General features: G+C 38.6%; 1 protein-coding gene and 1 long non-coding RNA gene across 2 annotated transcripts in view; one reads left to right on the top strand and one right to left on the bottom strand.

Annotated features, from left to right (window-relative positions):
* RMEL3 (enriched in melanoma 3) overlaps positions 1–15,953 on the bottom strand; it is a 140,307-nt gene that overhangs the window by 52,337 nt on the left and 72,017 nt on the right. The gene's annotated exons all lie outside the window — the stretch shown is intronic.
* Positions 266–3,059, top strand: ACTBL2 (actin beta like 2). Its single transcript, NM_001017992.4, has one exon. It carries the CDS (start codon positions 370–372, stop codon positions 1,498–1,500), a length of 1,131 nt encoding a protein of 376 aa, NP_001017992.1. The 5' UTR covers positions 266–369; the 3' UTR covers positions 1,501–3,059.

Here is a 15,953-nt window from a genome sequence, read left to right as displayed (position 1 = left end):
CCCCACTGCATCATCATAGTTATCTAGAGACCTCACCAGGCAGGCTGACGGTCATGTGTGGGTTGCCTAATTACAGGAACCTGAGATTTGACCACTTGGCAGCCAATTTTCTCTTTATGTAGAAAGATCTAATTGTTTATGTAATCATCACCATCATTAATACCTCAGAGATGACCTCATCCAGAAATGCTGGGAACTGGTGGAGTAGGACATGGGCGGAGTCAGTGTGTTCCTTTAAATACCTGTGGTCCCGGTGCAGCCTCCCGTGTCTGAAAGCATTTCTGGAGTGTTTTAGGCCTGTTCACTTTCTCTTACTCACTGTCTATTCACTTGTCCTGTTCACTCGTCTGGAAGATCTCAGCCAGCACCATGACTGACAATGAGCTGTCTGCCTTGGTAGTGGATAATGGGTCAGGGATGTGCAAGGCAGGCTTTGGTGGTGACGATGCCCCCCGGGCTGTGTTCCCCTCCATGATAGGGCGTCCTCGACACCAGGGCGTTATGGTAGGCATGGGCCAGAAGGACTGCTACGTGGGAGATGAGGCTCAGAGCAAGAGAGGCGTCCTGACCCTGAAGTATCCTATCGAGCATGGAGTGGTCACCAACTGGGACGATATGGAAAAGATCTGGTACCACACATTCTACAATGAGCTCCGTGTGGCACCAGATGAGCATCCCATCCTCCTCACCGAGGCACCCCTGAACCCCAAGATCAACCGGGAAAAGATGACTCAGATCATGTTCGAGGCTTTCAACACACCAGCCATGTATGTCGCCATCCAGGCTGTGCTGTCCCTCTATGCCTCAGGACGGACCACAGGCATCGTGATGGATTCTGGGGATGGGGTCACTCACATCGTGCCCATCTATGAAGGTTATGCCCTGCCTCATGCCATTCTACGCCTGGATCTGGCAGGGAGAGACCTGACTGATTACCTCATGAAGATCCTGACAGAGCGAGGCTATAACTTCACCACCACTGCTGAGCGGGAGATTGTGCGAGATGTCAAAGAGAAGCTGTGCTACGTAGCCCTGGACTTTGAGCAGGAGATGGTCAGGGCAGCCGCATCCTCCTCACCGGAACGGAGCTATGAACTTCCTGATGGGCAGGTGATCACCATTGGGAATGAACGCTTCCGATGCCCTGAAGCCATTTTCCAGCCTTCCTTTCTGGGCATTGAGTCCAGTGGGATCCATGAGACAACCTTCAACTCTATCATGAAGTGCGATGTGGATATTCGCAAGGATCTCTATGCCAACACCGTGTTATCTGGAGGGAGCACCATGTACCCAGGCATTGCTGACAGGATGCAGAAAGAAATCATAACCCTGGCACCCAGCACCATGAAAATCAAGATCATAGCTCCCCCAGAGCGGAAGTATTCTGTTTGGATTGGGGGCTCCATCCTTGCCAGCCTGTCCACATTCCAGCAGATGTGGATCAGTAAGCAGGAATATGATGAGGCTGGTCCTCCTATCGTTCACAGAAAATGTTTCTGAATGGGCTTCCATATTAGTGGGCTTACATTTTCCCTTTTCCTAGGTCACAGTGATGGTACTGCTTTTATCCGCTTTCAGTAGAATCGAGGTAAATACGTCACTCTTCCTAGTGTAAACCAGCAAACCCATCTCTCCATCCAAGTAACCTGGGCTCTTACCCAGATAACCACATCCGGTTCTCCATCAAGTGAAGGTGAATTCTAATACCATATTCCTTTTTCTTTGCCTATACTGTTCAAAGATAGGTAGGCCAGCTTAAATACATATAAGTGACAAGGAGTAAAATCACGAGAAATGTCATTTCAGAATGGATAACTATAATTATCAAGCTTTAAAACTTAGTTCTCGCTAAAATATTTAACAAGAACAGGCTGTATAAACTTGTTTAAAAAAAAAAGGTGCGTATGCATTTAGCAGCCGTGTCTTACTAGTTAAGTATCTTTGTTTTGTTTACTTCTTTGTATGGAGATAATGAATTATAAAGTTCAATAATATCCATATATACATAAGCACCAGGGAAATAAAATATATTGTGAAATATGCTGATGTATCTAGCTATCTGAACAGCTAATGTGAATTTCTTTACTCCCAAAAGTCATCGTTGTACTAGGTACATATTTTAATTGTTTCCCTTACTAAATAAGCATAATGAGACAGCCACCATTCCATTAATGTTTATAAATCATCTAAATTTTCAGCTCATAGTGGAGTTCTGCTGGTCAAATTATATTTTAATATCTTTCTTACTGAACCTTCTCATACCAAAACTACAGACAATGTCTAATTCTTAAGAGAGATAGATATTATAATATCAAATTAATGTCATTATGGTACAATTTGACAGAGGTAATTTTATTTCTATTTCTTAGTGTAATAGCACATCTTAAATAATTTCTGTAGACCAGGATTACAGATACTTCTCTTGTGCAAGGATTTCACTGTGGGAAAATATAGCTGCAGCATCTTTATTAATTATACATTTTACTACCAGTATACTAACACAGTTTTATCCTTGGAAAGCTTTTAGAATAATTCTACTTTATTATGTCCAGTAACTAGCAATACTTATTTATGCAAAGTGTCTCTGAGATACTAACATCTTTGAAAATATCAATGTATGTTCCTATAATGTCTAAAATATTTTAGTTACTCCAGTGATGATTTATTAACCAATTTTAAGTACCAGTATGTTTATTCCAATCTATGCAGTGATTTCTGAATATTTGGATATCAGCATTATTTGTATTTTTCAGGGTAATTTCTGAAAATTTAAAATATTTATTTGGATTGCTTATTCAGGCATTATAAGGTACTCTGGAGGAAGGAATCACTTCTCTTTTTTTCTTAGTTGGGAAACTTGTACTTATGTTATAAATCTTTAAAATGGAATCAGTAAGAATTTTTTGTTTAAGGTAATACTTTTCAAATAATTTGATTATTCCTTATTGGCTTTATCTGACAACATAATCTTTAAAATGCATGTAACCAAAATTAATCTCCAAAAACACTTTATTTTATATAACTTGCTTTCAGTACATTAAAATTGCTTCATACTTGTATACTTAGATTTCCTGTTATTTCTCCTCAACCATTCCCTTAGAATTAGAGAATGATCCAGATAGCATCTCTTTTTATATGTGTGACCTATTCATCTGTATGTTACAATTTTGCACCTCATACATTTAATCATGTAAACATTAAAAGGCAAATTTTAAAAAAAGGATAGCTAGCCATTTAACATTATATAGATGTCTCATAATCTAAATTTTAAAGCTGGGTTTTACTGGATGAACTGATCTTCAGGTAATTAATAGGCAGAGACAACATCAACAATAATAATCATAATATTTTGGATTTATATGCTGCAATGCATTCCATTTGCAGAGTGAGTAGTTCTCACAAACATTCTGACCTGCATTCTGAATTACCAAAAAAAAAAAAATATGACTTCCCACCCACAGACTATAAATGGGACAGGTAATGTGAACTTACAAGAGAGTGAGCTATAGAGCCCCACAACATTAGGTGAAAATATGAGCCCCATAATGCAAACTACGCATTATAAATCTTGAATTACTGTGGTAATTTAAGAGTTTATTATATATAAAATCTACAATTTCTAGATAACAAGTTGGTAAAATGCCAGAAACTTAAACCTAGAGTTGTGGGATATTCTTCTCTTTATCAACATTGACTGACTTATGGATGAGTTTAATGAAGAAACAGCCTGTTTCACAACTTTATATTTTAGAATCAAAGAATGACATCTACATAGGTAATACGATTAACATGCTATTCATGTATCATTAGCCTGGCTCATCAACCAAGTTATTTAGAGAACTTTATATAAATATAGGGTCCCTGGCCCTGGGCTCAGAGCAGTGGGTCTAGAATGAGCACTAAAAATCTGAATGCACAGCCAACTAGAGGAATTACAGCTCCACAGAATTCAAAATCCCAGCACATTACAGGCTCCATGGACAGGAAAGGTCTCCAGACACTTGCTTCATCCATCTTCCTCTGAGGATGAGACATCACTGAAGCAGCCTTCTCAGATTAATTTCATACCTCTGTAAATGATTTTCATTCTCCCTCTGTGATGCCTCCTGAGTAGCAATATAAGGCCAGGGCTGTATCACAATTCCCTGCACACTGTTATTTCCCAATCACAGGTAATATTTTTCTGAAAACATGACTGATCCAATGCCAGTTCCGACACTCTTCTACTCTTCTTTCCTAACATATAAATGTGCTTATTTTTCAATAGTGAGCTACAGTAGTCCTGGGATACAGGTTGAACTATACCCTATCTAGATATGCAATGCACAATTCTGTAATACAGAGGGCCTAAATATGAGTATTACATTATCCAGGCAATCAAAGGATAATCCTTTGGGTGACAAGGACTTTGCCATATTTGTTCACTCATTACACAATTATTAATTCAATGTCCTATGCCAGACTGTGCTTAAAGAACAAGTTGTACTAAACACAAAAACTTTTCTTAAGTGTCTCAGGCAGCATTATGATCACTAATTATTGGGGCTGGTATGGTGATTAATTCTTATTTTGAATACTTCCATTGGACTGTACCAGAAACTCATTTTAAAAATGTGAAACAAAAAAAGTTCACAATTTTAAAGGCTCATTTCAAAAGGATCCTTCGAAAGTCTAGAAAAGGATCCCCTCTTCCAAGAAAAAGTGACAACTCCTCCCTTGAATCCCTACTGTATTGCTTACATGCATACAGCCTCATAAACACATCGCAAACATGTGTCCACCATTCCCATCCCCAATATCATCAATATGCACCTGGGGGACAGAGACGGGGACAGTATTTATTCCCCCTTTGAATCCTCCAGCCTTTTCCTAGTGCCAGGTACATCATATTGATAAACCTGATTTGAATTAACAAGTTAGTGAGTTCATGGATTCTGATGTACCTTGTGAACCCAGTTCTGCATTGTCTATTTTTTACCAATCTATTCTCAGCTTCTGGTCTGTTAGCATCTGTTCCTGGTCTGTTAGCATCTGTTTTGTTGGTAGAATATTTCCTCTGAAGCATATTTTCTCTTTTTCCTTTCTTCCTCTCTTTTCTTTCCTTTTCCGTCCACTTCTCCCATGCATCTCAACATGTAGAGCTGGATTTTATTTTTTCCCCATCATAATGTTATTTGTTCCATAGTCAAAATTATCATTAACATCATTTTTTAACAAGACATGGGATTTTATTAAGAGCTTACATACAGGAAAGAGAGTCCAGCAGCAGTGGGCTAGACAGGAGAACTGCCTTACATACAGAAATGGTCTAGTGGTGGCAGGCTGGAGAAGATACCCACCTTCCATACAGTATAGTGGTGGCGGGCTGGACAACATAACCACACAGCCCAGACTAACATCATTTTAATACCACTCATTTATCTTAACTCTGATCTTCTCATGTGGTTTCTTTATTTTAACTTTTATTTTAGAGTCAGAGGGTACATGCCTCTGACACAGGTTTGTTACCTGGGTATATTGCATGATGCTGAGATTTGGGGTACAAATGAGCCCATCACCCAGGTACTGAGTATAGTACCCAGTAGCTTTTCAAACTTTGTATCCTTTCCCCCCTCCAGTAGGCCCCAATTTCAATTGTTGCCTCCTTTATGTCCATGAGTACCCAATGGTTAGCTTCCACTTATAGGTGAAAACATGAAGTATTCGGTTTTCTGTTTCTACATTAATTTGCTTTGGATAATGGCCTCCAGCGGAGCTGGGTTCTAATAGTCTTTCACTTGTCCATAAAATTTGTTATTCTTCTGATTGGTCAAAGGATCATCAACCTCATCTTTTGGAACGTGTGCCATCTATGTGGCTGCTGAAATTTAGAAGGAAGAAAGAGAAAGATTTAGAGAGAGAGAGAGGGACAGAAATGAAAGAAAAGGGGAGAAAAAGAAAGAAAGGCTTTCACAGAGTACAGTAGTATATTCAGCTCTTTTAATCTGTCTGCATTCTTGCTGATATTTTTCTCTTTTTGCTAAGCTCCAATTGCTCTAGAGTTGACAGTTTCAGATATCTGACTAACAATTCAGACATTATAATACATTAAAAAGTGTGCCTTTCTGGTAACTATTCACAGGCTCCTTTCAAAGTTTACAAAAGATTCCTTTCAAAAAATGTTTGAAGTTAGGAACTAAGCATGTGGTTTGCCCAGTACTGCTTCCAGATGTTGATAAGTACAGCTGGAATGTCTTTAAAGATATATATGTGTATATCAGTAGACAGACTACTCATTAAAATTAATTTATACTTTAAGACTTCCTTTTTAAATGTAAAAGGAACTGTTTGAGTTATAACTGTAATTTAAAAAAAAAACTAATCCCATAAGTAATGAAGACTCTAGAGCCTCCTCAAGTTTTCCTGCTTTGTTTTTCATCCTATTCCAAATCTGATGTCCTAACCACCTTATAATTTTAAGTTCAGTTATATCTATTCAACAGATGTTCCAGTATGATATGATGACAGAAATTTTATCTAGACAACACCATAACACTGCTTTAAAAATGGAAAAATCTTATTTAATTGGCTATTTGACAATATATGTTAAAATGCAAGTTACTCTCTCCAGGATTTGGAATGAGACATTTGTAATCATACATATACTAAATGACACTGTCTGGTTCAAAAGAAACAGAAACACAGAGCCAACCCAGCAAGAAGGATGAAAGTTTCTGCTCATGTCCCCTTTGTGGGTGTATTGCAGTAAGAATAGCTTTTTTAGCCACTTTATAAGTTGAGAGGGAACAGGCAAAGCCAGACACCAATATGATATTTTAACATGGCTCCTTCTCTCCCACCGCATATTCTCTGTGACCCACTCAAATGTCCCTGAATATCAGCCCTTCTTATAGTAGAGAAATATTAGTTTGGTGCAAAAGTAATTGCAATTTTTGCCATTAAAAATAATGTAGCTACTCGACATTGTTTATTTTTTTTCCATAGTTGGCTGTCAAAGGAAAAGCTGGCCTCACCAGTAAAGACAAAGTCATGTACTTCAGTGGAAATGCTGTGATCTTCTAATGCAGTCCACCATGTTCATAATGGAAGTTTTCCACAGAAATATAAAGTTTTCATAAATCTTGAATTATTCTGGTAATTTGAGAGCTCATTACATGTGAAATCTATGATTTCTAGATAATGAGTTGGTAAAATGCCAGAAGAAATGTAGAACACACCCTTATTTTTTACAAAAATGGCATTTATTCAATGATGAGAATCAAAATATTATATCTTTGGCTAAATTAGTCAATTTTATCAAAATGGAAGAAATTATAAGCAGTAAAATCAAGACAAAATGTACAATTTTAATTGGAGAATTTAGTCCATTTACATTTAAAGTTAATATTGTTATGTGTGAATTTGATCCTGTCATTATGATGTTAGCTGGTGATTTTGCTCGTTAGTTGATGCAGTTTCTTCCTAGTCTCGATGGTCTTTACAAATGTAAATGGACTAAATTCTCCAATTAAAAGACACAGACTGGCAAGTTGGATAAAGAGTCAAGACCCATCAGTGTGCTGTATTCAGGAAACCCATCTCACGTGCAGAGACACAAATAGGCTCAAAATAGAAGGATGGAGGAAGATCTACCAAGCAAATGGAAAACAAAAAAAGGCAGGGGTTGCAATCCTAGTCTCTGATAAAACAGACTTTAAACCAACAAAGATCAAAAGAGACAAAGAAGGCCATTACATAATGGTAAAGGGATCAATTCAACAAGAGGAGCTAACTATCCTAAATATATATGCACCCAATACAGGAGCACCCAGATTCATAAAGCAAGTCCTGAGTGACCTACAAAGAGACTTAGACTCCCACACATTAATAATGGGAGACTTTAACACCCCACTGTCAACATTAGACAGATCAACGAGACAGAAAGTCAACAAGGATACCCAGGAATTGAACTCAGCTCTGCACCAAGCGGACCTAATAGACATCTACAGAATTCTCCACCCCAAATCAACAGAATATACATTTTTTTCAGCACCACACCACACCTATTCCAAAATTGACCACATACTTGGAAGTAAAGCTCTCCTCAGCAAATGTAAAAGAACAGAAATTATAACAAACTATCTCTCAGACCACAGTGCAATCAAACTAGAACTCAGGATTAAGAATCTCACTCAAAGCCGCTCAACTACATGGAAACTGAACAACCTGCTCCTGAATGACTACTGGGTACATAACGAAATGAAGGCAGAAATAAAGATGTTCTTTGAAACCAACGAGAACAAAGACACAACATACCAGAATCTCTGGGACGCATTCAAAGCAGTGTGTAGAGGGAACTTTATAGCACTAAATGCCCACAAGAGAAAGCAGGAAAGATCCAAAATTGACACCCTAACATCACAATTAAAAGAACTAGAAAAGCAAGAGCAAACACATTCGAAAGCTAGCAGAAGGCAAGAAATAACTAAAATCAGAGCAGAACTGAAGGAAATAGAGACACAAAAAACCCTTCAAAAAATCAATGAATCCAGGAGCTGGTTTTTTGAAAGGATCAACAAAATTGATAGACCTCTAGCAAGACTAATAAAGAAAAAAAGAGAGAAGAATCAAATAGACACAATAAAAAATGATAAAGGGGATATCACCACCGATCCCACAGAAATACAAACTACCATCAGAGAATACTACAAACACCTCTACGCAAATAAACTAGAAAATCTAGAAGAAATGGATACATTCCTCGACACATACACTCTCCCAAGACTAAACCAGGAAGAAGTTGAATCTCTGAATAGACCAATAACAGGAGCTGAAATTGTGGCAATAATCAATAGTTTACCAACCAAAAAGAGTCCAGGACCAGATGGATTCACAGCCGAATTCTACCAGAGGTACAAGGAGGAACTGGTACCATTCCTTCTGAAACTATTCCAATCAATAGAAAAAGAGGGAATCCTCCCTAACTCATTTTATGAGGCCAGCATCATTCTGATACCAAAGCCAGGCAGAAACACAACAAAAAAAGAGAATTTTAGACCAATATCCTTGATGAACATTGATGCAAAAATCCTCAATAAAATACTGGCAAACCGAATCCAGCAGCACATCAAAAAGCTTATCCACCATGATCAAGTGGGCTTCATCCCTGGGATGCAAGGCTGGTTCAATATACGCAAATCAATAAATGTAATCCAGCATATAAACAGAACCAAAGACAAAAACCACATGATTATCTCAATAGATGCAGAAAAAGCCTTTGACAAAATTCAACAACCCTTCATGCTAAAAACTCTCAATAAATTAGGTATTGATGGGACGTATTTCAAAATAATAAGAGCTATCTATGACAAACCCACAGCCAATATCATACTGAATGGGCAAAAACTGGAAGCATTCCCTTTGAAAACTGGCACAAGACAGGGATGCCCTCTCTCACCGCTCCTATTCAACATAGTGTTGGAAGTTCTGGCCAGGGCAATCAGGCAGGAGAAGGAAATAAAGGGTATTCAATTAGGAAAAGAGGAAGTCAAATTGTCCCTGTTTGCAGACGACATGATTGTTTATCTAGAAAACCCCATCGTCTCAGCCCAAAATCTCCTTAAGCTGATAAGCAACTTCAGCAAAGTCTCAGGATACAAAATCAATGTACAAAAATCACAAGCATTCCTATACATCAACAACAGACAAACAGAGAGCCAAATCATGAGTGAACTCCCATTCACAATTGCTTCAAAGAGAATAAAATACCTAGGAATCCAACTTACAAGGGATGTGAAGGACCTCTTCAAGGAGAACTACAAACCACTGCTCAAGGAAATAAAAGAGGATACAAACAAATGGAAGAACATTCCATGCTCATGGGTAGGAAGAATCAATATCGTGAAAATGGCCATACTGCCCAAGGTAATTTACAGATTCAATGCCATCCCCATCAAGCTACCAATGACTTTCTTCACAGAATTGGAAAAAACTACTTTAAAGTTCATATGGAACCAAAAAAGAGCCTGCATCGCCAAGTCAATCCTAAGCCAAAAGAACAAAACTGGAGGCATCATGCTACCTGACTTCAAACTATACTACAAGGCTACAGTAACCAAAACAGCATGGTACTGGTACCAAAACAGAGATATAGATCAATGGAACAGAACAGAGCCCTCAGAAATAACGCCGCATACCTACAACTATCTGGTCTTTGACAAACCTGACAAAAACAAGAAATGGGGAAAGGATTCCCTATTTAATAAATGGTGCTGGGAAAACTGGCTAGCCATATGTAGAAAGCTGAAACTGGATCCCTTCCTTACACCTTATACAAAAATCAATTCAAGATGGATTAAAGATTTAAACGTTAGACCTAAAACCATAAAAACCCTAGAAGAAAACCTAGGCATTATCATTCAGGACATAGGCGTGGGCAAGGACTTCATGTCCAAAACACCAAAAGCAATGGCAACCAAAGCCAAAATTGACAAATGGGATCTAATTAAACTAAAGAGCTTCTGCACAGCAAAAGAAACTACCATCAGAGTGAACAGGCAACCTACAACATGGGAGAAAATTTTCGCAACCTACTTATCTGACAAAGGGCTAATATCCAGAATCTACAATGAACTCAAACAAATTTACAAGAAAAAAACAAACAACCCCATCAAAAAGTGGGCGAGGGACATGAACAGACACTTCTCAAAAGAAGACATTTATGCAGCCAAAAAACACATGAAAAAATGCTCATCATCACTGGCCATCAGAGAAATGCAAATCAAAACCACTATGAGATATCATCTCACACCAGTTAGAATGGCAATCATTAAAAAGTCAGGAAACAACAGGTGCTGGAGAGGATGTGGAGAAATAGGAACACTTTTACACTGTTGGTGGGACTGTAAACTAGTTCAACCATTGTGGAAGTCAGTGTGGCGATTCCTCAGGGATCTAGAACTAGAAATACCATTTGACCCAGCCATCCCATTACTGGGTATATACCCAAAGGATTGTAAATCATGCTGCTATAAAGACACATGCACATGTATGTTTATTGCGGCACTATTCACAATAGCAAAGACTTGGAACCAACCCAAATGTCCAACAATGATAGACTGGATTAAGAAAATGTGGCACATATACACCATGGAATACTATGCAGCCATAAAAAATGATGGGTTCATGTCCTTTGTAGGGACATGGATGAAATTGGAAACCATCATTCTCAGTAAACTATCACAAGAACAAAAAACCAAACACCGCATATTCTCACTCATAGGTGGGAATTGAACAATGAGATGACATGGACACAGGAAGGGGAATATCACACTCTGGGGACTGTGGTGGGGAGGGGGGAGGGGGGAGGGATAGCATTGGGTGATATACCTAATGCTAGATGACGAGTTAGTGGGTGCAGCGCACCAGCATGGCACATGTATACATATGTAACTAACCTGCACAATGTGCACATGTACCCTAAAACTTAAAGTATAATTAAAAAATAAATAAATAAATAAATAAAATAAAATAAAAAAAGTACAATTTTAAAATTTTGATGGACTCAGAGAAACAAAAGTTGATGTAGAGAAAGGAAATTTTATCAATGAAAAAGATGGTAAAATACCAATTAAAAACAAAATTCTTGTGCAACCAAACTTTAGATCTTATTCCTTCTATCTAACTATATTTTTGTACTCACTAACCATCCCCTCTTTATCTGCACTCTTTCCTACCACCCTTCCCAGCCGCTGGTAACCATCATTCTACTATCTCCATGAGTTCAGTGTTTCCTAGCTTCCACACATGAGTGAGAACATGCAATATAGTTAACGGTAATTTAGCGTATATCTCAAAAGAACTAAAAGAGTGGAATTGGAATGTTCCTGACACAAAGAAATGATAACTGCTTGAGGCGATAGATATCCCAATTACCCTGATTTGATCGTTATATATTAAATGCTTGTATCAAAATATTACATGTACCCCACAAAAATGTGTTACTATTATGTGTCCATGATAATTAAAAATGCTTTCTTAATTCTTTATTTTTACCTGATCTCAGTAGCACTTACTCATTACTTTCATATTTGAGTCACTGTAGCCAAAATCTGTAGCCAGTCTGCTTGACTGCTCCTCAAACATTGCCCCGACAAAGGAATTCTTCATAGGGTCAAGTATGTAGGATGAATATAGTAGATACTGATTGATTCATTTTTGTTTTTGTCTTGATTTTTAGCTAACCAGCAACTTAATGCCCTTTTTATTGACAAGAATTTCCTTTAATTCCCTTTTGTGTGAACCTTGATGGGAGGCAAGCCCCTGAGTTGCACTTGTTCATTATCAGCTAGAACTTAGGCTCAGCCTATCAGATACTCTATTCTGAGATTTTCAATACTTAGAATCTGACAAAGTGATGCAAATTTGCAGGAACTGTTGAGAAATTACTCATGCATTTTGTGACACAGGAACTCATCAGTGACGATGGCATGGTCCCATAATAGAGTCCTAACCAGACTATTGCTTTGGCACAACTTAAGCTAATTTTCTTTTTGGTTTCTGTCCATTTCCCAAGAATGGAATCTGTGAGCTATTCATTATTCCTTCAAAAATATTTTTTCCTGCTTAAGCTATCTAAAGGCAATTTCTGCTGCATGCAATTAAGTATGTTGACTGAAACATATTTTGGTACCAGGGAATGGAATTGTAGATAACAGACCCTTAAAGAATTGGGCAATTCTAGGATTGGTCATCTGGCTCAATTCAGGCTAATGGCAGTTAAAAAAAAAACCCACTAGCATTCATTAAGGGGAATCTTACAGCTCATGGCAAACAGGAGAGAAATTGCTCATTAAAATATCTCCTGGGATCACTTAAAATAAAACACTTTTGGGGGTCAAGGCTGTGGGGAATAAAGCTTTCACTGTCATTGAACAGTATAAAGGATATGAGTAATTTCATGTTGAAGAATGGATGGCTGCCTTCACTGACTCCAACCAGCTTAAAAGAGAGTATAACAAAGTTAAATTCCTACACATATCTCAAAGCACACACTGAGCTAAAAGAATCTTTTATCTCTTAGAGACATAGGGCTGAGTACCTAAAAAACAAACTTCATTGATTGAATTCACAGCTTCACTAGGACTTTCATTTTAAATTTAGGGCAAAGATGGAAAAGAATGAGACCCCAAGAACCGGAGTGGCTATTTAGGAGAATTTGAGAATCTGGAGATCCCAAACATCCAGCCCTGCCCCTTTGAAGCCAAAGCAGCCTCTTTTTCCTCATTTGATGAAAGCTTTATCATTTGGTTGCACACCTAAAACAGCCTTACCTAATGGAAGGTCCTGAAAACGAACAGCTAATTTTAACAGTTAGGGTCCTTGTAAGTAAAATAGAGAATACTCAGAGGGTTTTAACTGAAGAAAATTTAATTAAAGAATGTTTACAGAGGTCTAGACAGGATTAAGGAATCAATAAGGTATGATGAGACATAACAGCAAGAATCCATTATCATCTCTAAGCTTGAAGGATTAAGAAAAAGGAGAGGTGCGATCATAGCCCAGCAAGAATGTCAGAGAAGAGGAGCTATGGCCATAAAGGAATACAGTCCCAGCCAGGACCCTGGCAAAAGAAAAACAAAGAAGAGAAAATAAAATCCCTGACCTCTGCCCTCCTTCACTCCCCAACAATTTCACTGGGGTATCCCATTGGTCTAAACCCAGTAAGAAGCCAGAGATCAAGGGAAGCCAGGTGATGTAGTTCTTAGAGGTCAGCATACAAAAGGACAGAGCAAAACAGGGTCTTTATTTGCAGTCATGCAAACAATGGATAGGTCTGGAAAAATACAAGAGGTATCTTGTAAGCTAAATCTGGTGGTAATTCAAAATGCGGCTATTACTCTAGACATAGATTTTATTTGCTACTTATTGGAGCAAATTAGTAAATTCCCTGTAGCTATTAACATAGTTAATAGTTTTTCTCTGGGATAAAAAAATAACTTTTTAGAAATTTGCTTTTACCTGGTATGGACATAGATAACTTTACCATCTTGCTGCAGTTTTAAGACAATTGCCCAATTCTGTAGTACAATTCAGTGTTCAATGACTGTCTCATAATGCCAGAGGACATCATAGTGGTTTACATCATACTTTGGAATCTACAGAGCAGAATGTATTGTGTAACTTCAGCAAATCTTACTAAGAGTGCAATGGATAAATCTCACAAAAATACAAAACAAGGGTTTTACTTCAGGCAACTTTTTTTTTTGAGGGAGGAGGATGGAAATTAGGATATATTTTTAGACGATAGGCTCCAAATAACAAAATGCTATCACCTTTGAGTGATAATTTCTCCAATGGATTTAGGCTACATTGAAAGCCATTCTGGGACTTGACCCTTACAACCCAGCAAATGCGAAATTTCTCAACAATTCTGTGGTAGGTGGAGTTACTCAATAGAGTTGGGAAGCATCCCCTAGGGCAGGAGTTCAGCAGCATCCCTTACGGCAGGGGTCCCCAAACCTTGGGCCACAGTACTACTCTGTGGCCTGTTAGGAACCAGGCTGCACTGCAGGAGGTGATCGGTGGGCTAGAGAAGCTTTATCTGTATTTACAGCCGCTCCCCATCACTCATATTTTCACCTGAGCTCCACCTCCTGTCAGATCAGCGGCTGCATTAGATTTGTAGGAGGGCGAACCCTATTGTGAACTGCACCTGGAAGGGATCTAGGTTGCACGCTCCTTAGCTCCTTATGAGAATCTAGTTCCTGATGATCTGTCACTGACTCCCATCACCCCCAGATGGGACCATTTAGTTGCAGAAAAATGAGCTCAGGACTCCCACTGATTTTACATTAATGGTAACTTGTATAATTATTTCATTATATATTACAATGTAATAATAATAGAAATAAAGTGCACAATAAATGTAATGTGATTGGGTCATCTCAAAACCACTCCCCCACCCCCCAGTCTGTGGAAAAATTGTCTTCCACAAAATCGTGGTGCCAAAGCATTTGGGGAGTACTGCCCTACAGTTTTAAAGCGACGCATTACCCATTTCGACAAACAACTATACTTCTCTTAAGAACGAGTTCTTAAGCCAGGAGCAGCGTCTCACACCTGTAATCCCAGCACTTTGGGATGTGGAGGTGGGTGGATCACAAGGTCAGGAGTTCGAGATCAGGCTGACCAAAATGGTGAAACCCCGTCTCTACTAAAAATACAAAAATTAGCCAGGCATGGTGGCACACACCTGTAATCTCAGCTACTCAGGAGGCTGAGGCAGGAGAATCGCTTGAATGAGGCGGAGGTTGCAGTGAGCTGAGATTGCAACACTGCACTCCAGCTTGGGTAACAGAGCGAGACTCTGTCCCAAAAACAAAAGAAAACAAACAAAAAAGAGTTCTTGAATTGCTATTGAGTATAGGTAGAGATTGACTATGTCATCTTAACATGTAACTTGCAACCTGAACTACTTATTATAAACTGGTTAACCTAGCCGTAAAAACTACCATGCCAGCAGCACTCCATAATCAGGTCGTACTAATTTCAGGCTGAGACTGAGTAAATTCTGAAGGTATAAATAAGTTGCACAGACAGATTGCTCACATCCAACCCACATAAGTCCCCATTTTTTACTGGTAGGTCACAGTGGTAGTGTATGTTTCCAGGAATTAATGTTAACTTAGAACCAGTATCCAACAATCTCTGAAACATATGCCTGTAGTATACAGTTACCCTTGTAAATGGTGCAGGGTATTCATATTTAAATTCACACATGCAACTTCATGAGGAGTTGCCTATAATCAGTCGTCTAAGGCGTAAAAAAAAAAGCAAGCCAGACTTACAGAGAGATGCCAGCAACCAGAAACAGATTCTGCAGTGTTCAAACCCAGCCACAGCAATAGGCTGGGAGAGCAGAGAAGGGGGTCATCCTAGCAGGCAGATCTGCAATCAGTGCAGGGTTTTTTTCC

The sequence above is a fragment of the Homo sapiens genome, chromosome 5, assembly GCF_000001405.40.
Source record: "Homo sapiens chromosome 5, GRCh38.p14 Primary Assembly".
NCBI lineage: Eukaryota > Metazoa > Chordata > Mammalia > Primates > Hominidae > Homo > Homo sapiens.
This window is presented reverse-complemented; position numbering and strand designations above follow the sequence as displayed.

Coding starts and splice junctions, on each gene's coding strand:
- ACTBL2 (NM_001017992.4), top strand. CDS start 370: ATGACTGACAATGAGCTGTCTGCCTTGGTAGTGGATAATGGGTCAGGG.